The following is a 12,234-nucleotide window of genomic DNA, read 5'->3' on the forward strand; positions in this document are numbered from 1 at the left end:
TGGGAATCATTTCAAAGCTCCATAACTGGGGCAATCTCCTGCCTGCACAGGAGGTCAGCTGGCCCCTGCCTTGCCTGCTCTCACACAGTCCAGGAGGTGGGGGAACAAACTCAGCTTCTGATTTCAAGCACGACTGGTGAGAAGAAGAGCGAGGAGCAGGTGTAGTGCAGGCCTGACCAGGTGGGCGGGTGTGAGGGCCCTGTCTCCAGGGGGTCCCATCTGAGCTGGTTCCCTAGGGGTATGATGTGGGCAGGGAAGAACACTGCAGGCAGAGAAAAGTCTGGAGGGCTATAGTGGAGAGAGGGAGGGTGGTGGCAGATTGGGTACCCCATTTGTAGAAAGGAAGTCCTGGGTCTGCTGAGGCACCTGGGCCTCAGTTCCAGCAGCAGGGTCCCTGCAGGTCACTTACACTCTGTGAGCACTGGAGGTCACATCTGCTTCCTCTTGTTTTGGGGGTGGCTTCCAGGTGCAGGAGGCCCACCTCGATAGGCTCTTGGACCAACTGAGGCAGCAAAGTGACAAAGAAACACTGGCGTTTCACCTGGAAAAGGTCAAAGATTATCTGAAGAACATGAAATCCAGGTAGGCCAACCAGACTCCAGAAGGCAGGAAGGGATGGTCAGGAATTCATCTTCAAGGTCAAGGGCAGCCTGCCCAAGAGCCCAGGAGCCTGCCAGCTTAAGATGAAAATTGTGCCTCTCACTTTAGAAAGCATGTGGCCCTCTGCAGCTCTACTCTCAGCCAACAAAGAAGCTTCCAGGGAGAATTTTTTAAAGTTTTTGGAGGGAGGTTTCAAAGCAATGCAGCTTAAGTTCAAGAACATGGGGCCTTCTTTTAAAAATTTAAAGATGTGGATGGATCACCTGAGGACAGGAGTTCAAGACCAAGCTGGCCAACATGGTGAAACCCCACCTCTACTAAAAATACAAGAATTAGCCAGATGTGGTGGCAGGTCCCTGTAATCCCAGCTACTCAGGAGGCTGAGGCAGGAGAATCACTTGAACCCAGGAGACGGAGGTTGCAGTGAGAGGAGATCATGCCATTGCACTTCAGCCTGGGTGACAGAGTGAGACTCTGTCTCAAAAACAAAAAAAAATTTAAACATGTACATTCTTGTTAAAGGGGGAAAAAGAAGTTAACCACTGCAAACATATAGAGATTTTTTTCCCTCATTCCTGCCCACTTTTCCTTTTTTATGGGCATATACATTTATATATATGAATATATACACATACATAGTGTTTTTAAAATAAAGGTTGGATTATACCGTGCAAATTGTTCCATAACTACAGATATACTTCCTTTTTTAAATGCCTTGTAGCATTCATTAATGTAGATACTTCATAATGGTTTAGCAATCCCTCAATTGATTAGCTGTTTTCTATTGGTTCCAATTTCTCAATATGACAAGCAGTTCTCTGTGAACTTTCTTGCATCTTTGTGACTTTGTACAGCTGATTCTGTAAGGACTGTTCACAGAAATAGAACGACACTGCCAATTGATTGCAGTACTTAGATTCAGAAGGCAATTCTGATTACTTTAGGCAAGTACGTAACCCTATGAGCCTTGGTCTACTTCTCTGAGAAATAGAAGTCTGGACCTTGGGGCATTTGCGAGTTTGATGGAATAATGTAGGTACCGTCAAGTTCGAGGACAGCATTAAGACCAAAGACAGAGTTAGGACCCTGGACAGGGAAAGGGAGCTCATGTTACAAGCAGAAAAGTCTCTTGTGTGTGTTTTCCAAACTTTCTACAAAAAGTATGTATTTCTCGTATGATCAGAAAAATAGCATAGCCAAGGACTGCTGCTATAAAAGAGCAGCCACACAGCAGCTCTACACAGAGTTGTGTGCCAGATTGCAGCCCATCTCCTTGGGGTCAGGGGTGTGGTTCCTAGCTGGGGTCTCCTGTCTTACCTACCTACCTCCCAGGTATGAATGTTTTCACACCCTCCTGACAAAGGAAGTGATGGAGTACCCAGCGATCATGCTGAAAGAACTCAACTCCTACAGCTCTGCCCTCAGCCAATACTTCTTTGTGCGTGAAATCTTTGAACAGGTATGGAGAGGGTGATGATACACCCAGCCACTCATGAAGAAGCTAAGGGAGAGGCTGACTTCTTGTTATGATCTGCCTAGACTTTGAAAGCCATTCCTAATGCTGCAGAGTTCAAATCAATGCAAGAAGAAAGAAGCTGAAAGTGTCTCTAAAGAGACCATCTCTTTCTCAGTATAAAAGAGGCTGAAGGGTTCAGAATTCAGGGCTCAAGCCTGAATGGACTTATAATGAAAAGGTTAATTTATATGGTGCTTGGAATTCCATTTATCATACCTACCACTGCCACATAATTCTCCTAAAATATAGCTTTAACCCACCTACTCTCCTGCAAAATCCCTCCCCAACTGTGCAGCCCCCACCAAATCCAACTTACAGTCCCTAGATAACCACAAAGGCCCCACTCTCTCTGCTTCCCACCTTGACTCTCCCTCATCCAGCAGACTCATCCCTCTTCTGGCATGTGCCTCCTGCCTGCTGCCCTTCCTCATCGTGCTCCCTCTGCTGGGACCCCTCTGTCTCCACATATCCCAAACCCACCCATACCTCCAATTCACTACCAAGAGAAAGGCTCCCACTCATTCAGCCTGACCCCTCATCTCACCTTGCTCAGCCCCTGCCACCTCTCAGAGCTCTGAACTTTTTTGTGCTTGGTTGCTGTCAAATACAGGAGTCTGGAGAACCCAACTATAATATATTTCTTAAAGGGCAAGTATGCCTTAATTTTTATTCAATTTTGATTGTCATTAGCACAAGGGTCTTGCACATAATTCAGACACAATAAATGCTCTCTGGGTAAATGCATGAATACCTGGGATTCCCTGGTTTGAATCCCCCAGAGTTTGGCTCTTTTCCCGCACACCAGCCATAGTCCTGCCTGGCCTGAATGGAAATACTCATGGTTGCCACTGAACCTGGCCAAAGGTTTCCCACATATACAGGACACCTGGCTCCTTCCCTGAGCATCTCTCCTCCCAGAAGAGATTCCTGTTTAGATTGCTAATAGCTGCTCCCTGTGCCACCTAGGTTGAGAGGGAAGCTCAAGCTATAGGATGGCGAACTTATTGCCTGCCCTTTGAGATCATTTGGATCACCTGGGTTAAAGGTATAGGCACCATTATGATCTCCATTTCATGGAAGATAACACTAAGCCCCATAGGGTGTAGAGGACTTGCCCAAGATCACTTAGCTTGTCAGGAGCTGGGAATCAAATCCAGACCTGCAAATTCCACAGCCTGCACTGTTATCCATAACACAGAATATCCAAAACTTCACCCAGAGCCTGTGAAACAGGAAATTTGCAGGGTTTACAAGGGGGCTCTCAGGATCATGTAAATCATGCCTGTTGTGTCTGTTCCATCTAGCACAGAATGCAGCAGATTTCTGCCCTTTGTTTGCATCCCTCAGTTTATATTTTTCTTGCCCTTTGCTCCAGATCACTGCCAAAAAATATATCATAATGAGCTTTAATTCCATGATTACCCATTGTGTGCTATAAGGGTTTGCTAGCCTTCTTGGAATTAAGAAAAACTGGTTCCTAGGATTGAGAACAACCCAATTACCCCAGGGAACTAAGTTGGTCAAGGCCTGCATCAGATATTAAAGGGGAGGGATGGGTCCTTTTACTTAAAAGTGGCACTCTGGGCTGGGTGCGGTGGCTCACGCCTGTAATCCCAGCACTTTGGGAGGCCGAGGCGGGCGGATCACGAGGTCAGGAGATGGAGACCATCCTGGTTAACACGGTGAAACCCTGTCTTTACTAAAAATACAAAAAATTAGCCAGGCGTGGTGGCTGGCGCCTATAGTCCCAGCTACTCGGGAGGCTGAGGCGGGAGAATGGTGTGAACCTGGGAGGCGGAGCTTGCAGCGAACCAAGACCGCGCCACTGCACTCCAGCCTTGGCAACAGAGCCAGACTCCTCTCAAAAAAAAAAAAAAAAAAAAAAAGGTGGGGGGCACTCTGAAGAAAGGCAGTGCAGGTCCTTCAGTGACTCTTGGTTTTTCCTTGTAGAACTTGGCTGGAGAAGTCATTTTCAAATTCAGGCAACCAGGTAACACTTTTTCAATTCAAGTTTTATTCTCCCAGACTTCACTCTTACGCGTTTGTGGGTTGGGAGGCCCAATCCAGGCAGCATCAGTAAATTGTCTCTCCTTGTGCTTTGGTGTTTATCATCAACAGAAGCACATGAAAAACCCTCCCAGAAGAGAGTGAAAAAACTGAGGAAGAAGCAAGGGTCTAAAGAGGACATGACCAGAAGTGAGGAAAGCATAAGTAGTGGGACAAGTACTGCCAGGTCAGTAGAAGAGGTGGAAGAAGAAAACGATCAAGAAATGGAGTCCTTCATAACTGAAGAGGTGCTGGGGCAGCAGAAAAAATCTCCACTGCATGCTAAGATGGATGAGTCCAAAGAAGGCTCTATTCAGGGACTGGAAGAAATGCAGGTTGAAAGAGAGGGCTCCTTAAACCCATCCCTGAATGAGGAGAATGTGAAGGGTCAAGGAGAAAAGAAGGAGGAGTCAGAGGAGGAAGATGAGAAGGAGGAAGAGGAGGAGGAGGAGAAGCTGGAGGAAGAGAAGGAGGAGAAGGAGGCACAGGAAGAGCAAGAGAGTTTATCTGTGGGTGAGGTAAGCCAGCAACTGATTCATTCTTGGGCATAGAGAAAGTTTGCTATGCTCATTTTGTGTTTATCCCTAGTGTAAGCTGGGGTCTTCAGTGGCCCAGTCTCCATAGAGGTGCAGAAAGAGAATTACAAAAATATTCATACTATTCATACTTTAAAAAAATTTTATTTTAGGTTCAGGGGTACATGTGCAAGTTTGTTATTTAGGTAAACTATGTATCATGGGGGTTTGATTTACAGATAATTTTGTCAGCGGGCTAATAAGCATAGTACCCAATAGTTGTTGTTTTTTTTTCTGATCCTCTCCCTGCTCCCACGCTTTACCCTCAAATAGTTCCCAGTATCTGCTGTTCGCCTCCTAGTATCCATGTGTTCTTTGTTTAGCTCCCACTTAAAAGTGAGAACATGCAGTATTTGGTTTTCTGTTCCTTTGTTAGTTTGCTTAGGATAATGGCCTCCATCCATGTTGCTGCAAAGGACATGATCCCATTCTTTTTATGGTTGCATAGTATCCCATGGTTTATATGTACCACATTTTATTTATCCAGTCCTACTGTCAATGGGCGTTTAGGTTGATTCCATGTCTTAGCTATTGTGAATAGTGCTGCAATGAATATATATGCATGCATGTGTCTTTATGGTAGAATGATTTACATTCCTTTGGGTATATACACAATAATGGGACTGTGGGGTCAAAAGGTAGTTCTGTTTTAAGTTCTTTGAGAAATTGCCACACTGGAATACACTCCCACCAGCAGTGAATAAGCATACCCTTTTCTCTGCAATCTTGCCAGCATCTGTTGTTTTTTGACTTTTTAATAATATTCATTCTGACTGTTATGAGATGGTATCTCATTGTGGTTTTGATTTGCATTTCTCTAATGATTAGTGATGTTGAGCACCTTTTCATATACTGGTTGGCCACATGTATGTCTACTTTTGAAAAGTGTCTGTTTGTGTCCTTTGCCCACTTTTGAATAGGGTTGTTTGGTTTTTGCTTGTTAATTTAAATTCTTTATAGATTCTGGATATTAGACCTTTGTCAGATGCATAGTTTGCAATTATTTTCTCCCATTCTGTAGGTTGTCTGTTTACTCTGTTGATAGTTTCTTTTGCTGTGCAGAAGCTCTTTAGTTTAATTAGGTCCATTTGTCAATGTTTGTTTTTGTCGCAATTGCTTTTGGCATCTTCATCATGAAATCTTTGCCAAGTCCTATGTCCAGAATGGTATTTCTTATTTTATCTTCCAGGGTTTTTATAGTTTTAGGCTTTACATTTAAGTATTTAATTCATCTTGAGTTGATTTTTGTATGTGGTATAAGGTAGGGGTCCAGTTTCAATCTTCTGCATATGGCTACCCAGCACCATTTATTAAATGGGTAGTCATTTCCTCACTGCTTGTTTTTGTCAGCTTTGTTGAAGATCAGATGGTTTAGGTGTGAGGCATTCTATTCCATTGGTCTGTGTGTCTGTTTTTGTGCTTGTATTATGCTGTTTTGATTACTGTAGACCTGTAGTATAGTTTGAAGTCAAGTAACATGATACCTCCAGCTGTGCTCTTTTTACTTAGGATTGCCTTTGCTATTCAGGCTCTTTTTTTATTGCATATAAATTTTAAAATAGTTTTTCTGATTCTGTGAAGAATGTCATTAGTAGTTTGATAGGAATAGCATCAAATCTGTAAATTGCTTTGAGCAGTATGGCCATTTTAAAGATATTGACTCTTCCTATCCATGAACATGGGATGTTTATGGTTTTTCATTTGTTTGGTCATCTCTGATTTCTTTGAGCAGTGTTTTGTAATTCTCATTGTAGAGACCTTTTACCTCCTGGTTAGCTGTATTCCTAGGTATTTTATTCTTTTTGTGGTGATTGTGAATGGGATTGCTTTCCTGATTTGGCTCTCGGCTTAGATGTTGTTGGTGTGTAGGAATGCTACTGATTTTTGTATGTTGCTTTTGTACTCTGAAACTTTGCTGAAGTTGTGTATCAGATCAAGGGGCTCTGGGGAAGAGACCATGGGGTTTTCTAGCTATAGAATGTCATCTGCAAACAGGATAGTTTGACTTCCTCTCTTCCTATTTGGATGCCTATTATTTCTTTATCCTGCCTGATTACTCTGCCCAGGGCTTCCAATACTAGTTGAATAGGAGTGGTGCAAGATGGCCTCCTTGTCTTGTGCTGGTTTTCAAGGGGAATGCTTCCATCTTTTGCCCAATCAGTATGTTGGCTCTGGGTTTGTTATAGATGGCTCTTACTATTTTGAAGTATGTTCTTTCAATGCCTAGTTTGTTGAGGGTTTTTAACATGAAGGGGTGTTGAATTTTATCAAAAGCCTCTTCTGTGTCTATTGAGATAATCATGTGGTTTTTGTTTTTAGTTCTGTCTATGTGATGAATCACATTTACTGATTTGCAAATGTTGAACCAACCTTGCATCCCAGGGATAAAGCCTACTTGATCATGGTGAATTCGCTTTTTGATGTACTGTTGGATTCAGCTTGCTAGTATTTTGTTAAGGATTTTTTGCATCAATGTTAATCAAGGATATTGGCCTGAAATTTTCTTTGTTTGTTGTGTTTCTGCCAGGTTTTGGCATCAGCGTGATTCCGGCTTCATAGAATGAGTTGGGGAGGAGCCTGTACTCCTCAACTTTTTGGAATAGTTTCAGCAGAAGTGATACCAGCTCTTTGTACATGTGGTAGAATTTGGCTGTGAATCCATTTGGTCCTGGGTTTGGGTTTTTTTTTTTTTTTTTTTTTTTTTTGGTTTGTAGGCTATTTATTATTGATTCCATTTTGGAGCTCATTATTAGTCTGTTCAGGGATTCAGTTTCTTCCTGGTTCAGTCTTGGGAGGTATATGTGTTCATGAATTTATCCATTTCTTCTAGATTTTCTAGTTTGTGTGCAAAGAGGTGTTCATAGTAGTCTGATGGCTGTTGGAGTTTTTTTTTGTATTTCTGCGGGGTCAGTGATAATGTATTAATACTTTTTTATTTTTTGCTAACAGTGATCCAATTCTTTACTCAGAGTAATGCTTTTCATTTTTAAAACATTTTTAATTATTTTTTTTTTGAGATGGAGTCTCACTCTGTCACTCAGGCTGGAGTGCAGAGGTGTGATCTCAGCTCACTGCAACCTCTGCCTCCCAGGTTCAAGTGATTCTCCTGCCTCAGCCTCCCAAGTAGCTGGAACTACAGGTGTGTACTACCACACCCGGCTAATTTTTGTATTTTTTTTTTCTTTAAAGGGGGAACAAGGGAATTGTTAAGTGAAATAATAACCCATATATGTTTAACATTTTACTTATTACAAAGTATTTTTGCATACATGTTCTTATTCTGTTTCCCAGTAAAATTTTCACTGTGAGGCAAATATTATTAATTATTCTCTTTTTAGAAGCATGCAAAACAATGCTCCTATCCTAGAGATAAGGGACTCCACAAACTCACTCAGCTACTAATGGAAAAGCTGGGACTCTTTTTATATTATACGACTTAGCCCTAGGGAGCCGTTATTAGCAATAGCCAGTATTTTAAGGAGTGTTTGTCATGTGCCTGGCATTTTGTGGACTTTACATGGATTACATGATTTAATCTGCATGACTAATCTGTAAGGTTGATACTACATTTATCCTCATTGTATAGACAACGAATCTGAGAGTTATCAAAGCTAAACAACTTTTCTATGCCAAAGCCAAGCTCCAAACCCTGGTAGCCTGACTCCAGGATCCATGTTCTTCTTTGTCACTAAGCTAACTGCCTTCTCAAACCAATGCTACTATGCTGGCCTTCCAGTACATACACCTTTATGCTCTGCTACATGTCCCTTTAGGGCTATGTATGTCCTTATAATATTAAGTTGCATTTTTGCTAACGTTTCCTGTTTTCCTATATAGGCTATTTTTTCCCACTGATGAAATGTCGAGTCATAGGGAAACAGAAAATTATAGTTTACATTATTTATAGTTTTCATTGAGAATATGGTAACATAAGGAACAAAATCATAGGGCCAAACATAGTCTACTCGTTAGACTTTCATCTTTAACAGTGCCACCAAGAAAGTTTCAAAGGGTAGAATTATGTACACCTCCGAAGCAACTCTCTGTTGTCTTAGCAGCTTACTTTGAATGGTTATCCATGAATGCACACTTCTCTCAGAGAGATTATATATCTTGAAGAGAAGGTCTAAATTTTAAACATTTCTCTCATGTCTAGTACTGTTCTGGATACAATAGCAGGTACATTTCATTAAATTAAATCTCAGCTTATGTAATATTGTATTGAAATTACCAGTCCCTCACACATTTTTACACCCAGCCTGTTTTATTTTTTGAAAGTAAGACTTTCCATGTTAGCTTTCTTCCTTCTTTTGCTCTATTAAAAACTCTTTCCCATTTCTTCTTTTTTTATTTTAAAACTTTTTTTTTTAATACTTTAAGTTCTAGGGTACATGTGCACAATGTGCAGGTTTGTTACATATGTATACATGTGCCATGTTGGTTTGCTGCACCCATCAACTCGTCATTTACACCAGGTGTTTCTCCTAATGCTATCCCTCCCCCATTCCCCCACCCCACAACAGGCCTTGGTGTGTGATGTTCCCCACCCTGTATCCAAGTGTTCTCATTGTTCAATTCCCACCTATGAGTGAGAACATACAGTGTTTGGTTTTCTATCCTTGCGATAGTTTGCTCAGAATGATGGTTTCCAGCTTCATCCATGTTGCTACAAAGGACATGAACTCATCCTTTTTTATGGCTGCATAATATTCCATGGTGTACATGTGCCACATTTTCTTAATCCAGTCTATCATTCTGGATATTTGGGTTGGTTTCAAGTCTTTGCTATTGTGAATAGTGCCGCAATAAACGTACATGTGCATGTGTCTTTATAGTAGCATGATTTATAATCCTTTGAGTATATACCCAGTAATGGGATCACTGGGTCAAATGGTATTTCTAGTTCTAGATCCTTGAGGAATCGCCACACTGTCTTCCACAACGGTTGAACTAGTTTACACTCCCACCAACAGTGTAAAAGCATTCTTATTTCCCCACATCCTCTCCAGCACCTGTTGTTTCCTGACTTTTTAATGATTGCCATTCTAACTGGTGTGAGATGGTATCTCTTTGTGGTTTTGATTTGCATTTCTCTGATGACCAGTGATGACGAGCGTTTTTTCATGTGTCTGTTGGCGGCATAAATGTCTTCTTTTGAAAAGTGTCTGTTCATATCCTTTGCCCACTTTTTAATGGGGTTGTTTGATTTTTTCTTGTAAATTTGTTTAAGTTATTTGTAGATTCTGGATATTAGCCCTTTGTCAGATGGGTAGATTGCAAAAATTTTCTCCCATTCTGTAGGTTGCCTGTTTCTTTCGCTGTGCAGAAGCTCTTTAGTTTGATTAGATCCCATTTGTCAATTATGGCTTTTGTTGCCATTGCTTTTGGTGTTTTAGTCATGAAGTCCTTGCCCATGCCTATGTCCTGAATGGTAATGCCTAGGTTTTCTTCTAGGGTTTTTATGGTTTTAGGTCTAACATTTAAGTCTTTAATCCATCTTGAATTAATTTTTGTGTAAGGTGTAAGGAAGGGATCCAGTTTCAGCTTTCTACATATGGCTAGCCAGTTTTCCCAGCATCATTTACTGAACAGGAGATCCTGTCCCCATTGCTTGTTTTTGTCAGGTTTGTTGAAGATCAGATGGTTGTAGATGTGTGGTATTATTTCTGAGGCCTCTGTTCTGTTCTATTGGTCTGTATCTCTGTTTTAGTACCAGTACCATGCTGTTTTGATTACTGTAGCCTTGTAGTATAGTTTGAAGTCAGGTAGCGTGATGCCTCCAGCTTTGTTCTTTTTGCTTAGGATTGTCTTGGCAATGCAGGCTCTTTTTTGGCTCCATATAGACTTTAAAGTAGTTTTTTCCAATTCTGTGAAGAAAGTCATTGGTAGCTTGATGGGGATGGCATTGAATCTATAAATTAACTTGGGCAGTATGGCCATTTTCACGATATTGATTCTTCCTATCCATGAGGATGGAATGTTCTTCCATTTGTTTGTGTCCTCTTTTATTTCTTTGAGCAGTGGTTTGTAGTTCTCCTTGTAGAGGTCCTTCACATCCCTTTTAAGTTGGATTCCTAGGTATTTTATTCTTTTTGTAGCAATTGTGAATGGGAATTCACTCATGATTTGGCTCTCTGTTTGTCTGTTATTGGTGTGTAAGAATGCTTGTGATTTTTGTACATTGATTTTGTATCCTGAGACTTTGCTGAAGTTGCTTATCAGCTTAAGGAGATTTTGGACTGAGACAATGGGGTTTTCTAAATATACAATTAGGTCATCTGCAAACAGGGACAATTTGACTTCCTGTTTTCCTAATTGAATACCCTTTATTTCTTTCTCTTGCCTGATTGCCCTGGCCAGAACTTCCAACACTATGTTGAATAGGAGTGGTGAGAGAGGGCATCCCTGTCTTGTGCCAGTTTTCAAAGGGAATGCTTCCAGTTTTTGCCCATTCAGTATGATACTGGCTGTGGGTTTGTCATAAATAGCTCTTATTATTTTGAGATATGTTCCATCAATACCTAGTTTATTGAGAGCTTTTAGCATGAAGGCTGTTGAATTTTGTCGAAGGCCTTTTCTGCATCTATTGAGATAATCATGTGGGTTTTGTCTTTGGTTCTGTTTATGTGATGGATTACGTTTATTGATTTGCGTATGTTGAACCAGCCTTGCATCCCAGGGATGAAGCCAACTTGATCTTGGTGGATAAGCTTTGTGATGTGCTGCTGGATTCGTTTTGCCAGTATTTTATTGAGGATTTTTGCATTGATGTTCATCAGGGATATTGGTCTAAAATTCTCTTTTTTTGTTGTGTCTCTGCCAGGCTTTGGTATCAGGATGATGCTGGCCTCATAAAATGTGTTAGGGAGGATTCCCTCCTTTTCTATTGATTGGAATAGTTTCAGAAGGAATGGTACTAGCTCCTCTTTGTACCTCTGGTAGAATTCGGCTGTGAATCCATCTGGTCCTGGACATTTTTCTGGTTGGTAGGCTATTAATTATTGCCTCAATTTCAGAGCCTGTTATTGGTTTATTCAGGGATTCAACTTCTTCCTGGTTTAGTCTTAGAAGGGAGTATGTGTCCAGGAATTTATCTATTTCTTCTAGTTTTTCTAGTTTATTTGCATAGCGGTGTTTATAGTATTCTCTGATGGTAGTTTGTATTTCTGTGGGATAGGTGGTGATATCCCCTTTATCATTTTTTATTGAGTCTATTTGATTCTTCTCTCTTTTCTTCATTAGGCTTGCTAGAGGTCTGCCAATTTTGTTGATCTTTTCAAAAAACCAGCTCCTGGATGCATTGATTTTTTGAAAGGTTTTTTGTGTCTCTATCTCCTTCAGTTCTGCTCTAATCTTAGCTATTTCTTGCCTTCTGCTAGCTTTTGAATTTGTTTGCTCTTGCTTCTATAGTTCTTTTAATTGTGATGTTAGGGTGTCAATTTTAGATCTTTCATGCTTTCTCTTGTGGGCATTTAGTGCTATAAATTTCCCTCTACA

General features: G+C 41.0%; 1 protein-coding gene and 1 long non-coding RNA gene across 5 annotated transcripts in view; both read left to right on the forward strand.

The window, feature by feature from the left end:
- Window positions 1-12,234, forward strand: part of SUGT1P4-STRA6LP-CCDC180 (SUGT1P4-STRA6LP-CCDC180 readthrough) — a 138,870-nt gene that overhangs the window by 87,662 nt on the left and 38,974 nt on the right. For all 3 annotated transcript variants that reach the window (NR_036528.1, NR_036527.1, NR_036529.1), the window contains 4 exons: window positions 467-582; window positions 1,933-2,059; window positions 4,067-4,106; window positions 4,235-4,680. This is a non-coding gene — a long non-coding RNA (SUGT1P4-STRA6LP-CCDC180 readthrough). The remainder of the gene's footprint in view (window positions 1-466; window positions 583-1,932; window positions 2,060-4,066; window positions 4,107-4,234; window positions 4,681-12,234) is intronic.
- Window positions 1-12,234, forward strand: part of CCDC180 (coiled-coil domain containing 180) — a 71,415-nt gene that overhangs the window by 18,751 nt on the left and 40,430 nt on the right. For both annotated transcript variants that reach the window (NM_001348010.4, NM_020893.6), the window contains 4 exons: window positions 467-582; window positions 1,933-2,059; window positions 4,067-4,106; window positions 4,235-4,680. In NM_001348010.4, coding sequence (NP_001334939.2) covers window positions 467-582; window positions 1,933-2,059; window positions 4,067-4,106; window positions 4,235-4,680 — 729 coding nt within the window. The remainder of the gene's footprint in view (window positions 1-466; window positions 583-1,932; window positions 2,060-4,066; window positions 4,107-4,234; window positions 4,681-12,234) is intronic.

Source organism: Homo sapiens, chromosome 9 (assembly GCF_000001405.40).
Source record: "Homo sapiens chromosome 9, GRCh38.p14 Primary Assembly".
Taxonomy (NCBI): domain Eukaryota; kingdom Metazoa; phylum Chordata; class Mammalia; order Primates; family Hominidae; genus Homo; species Homo sapiens.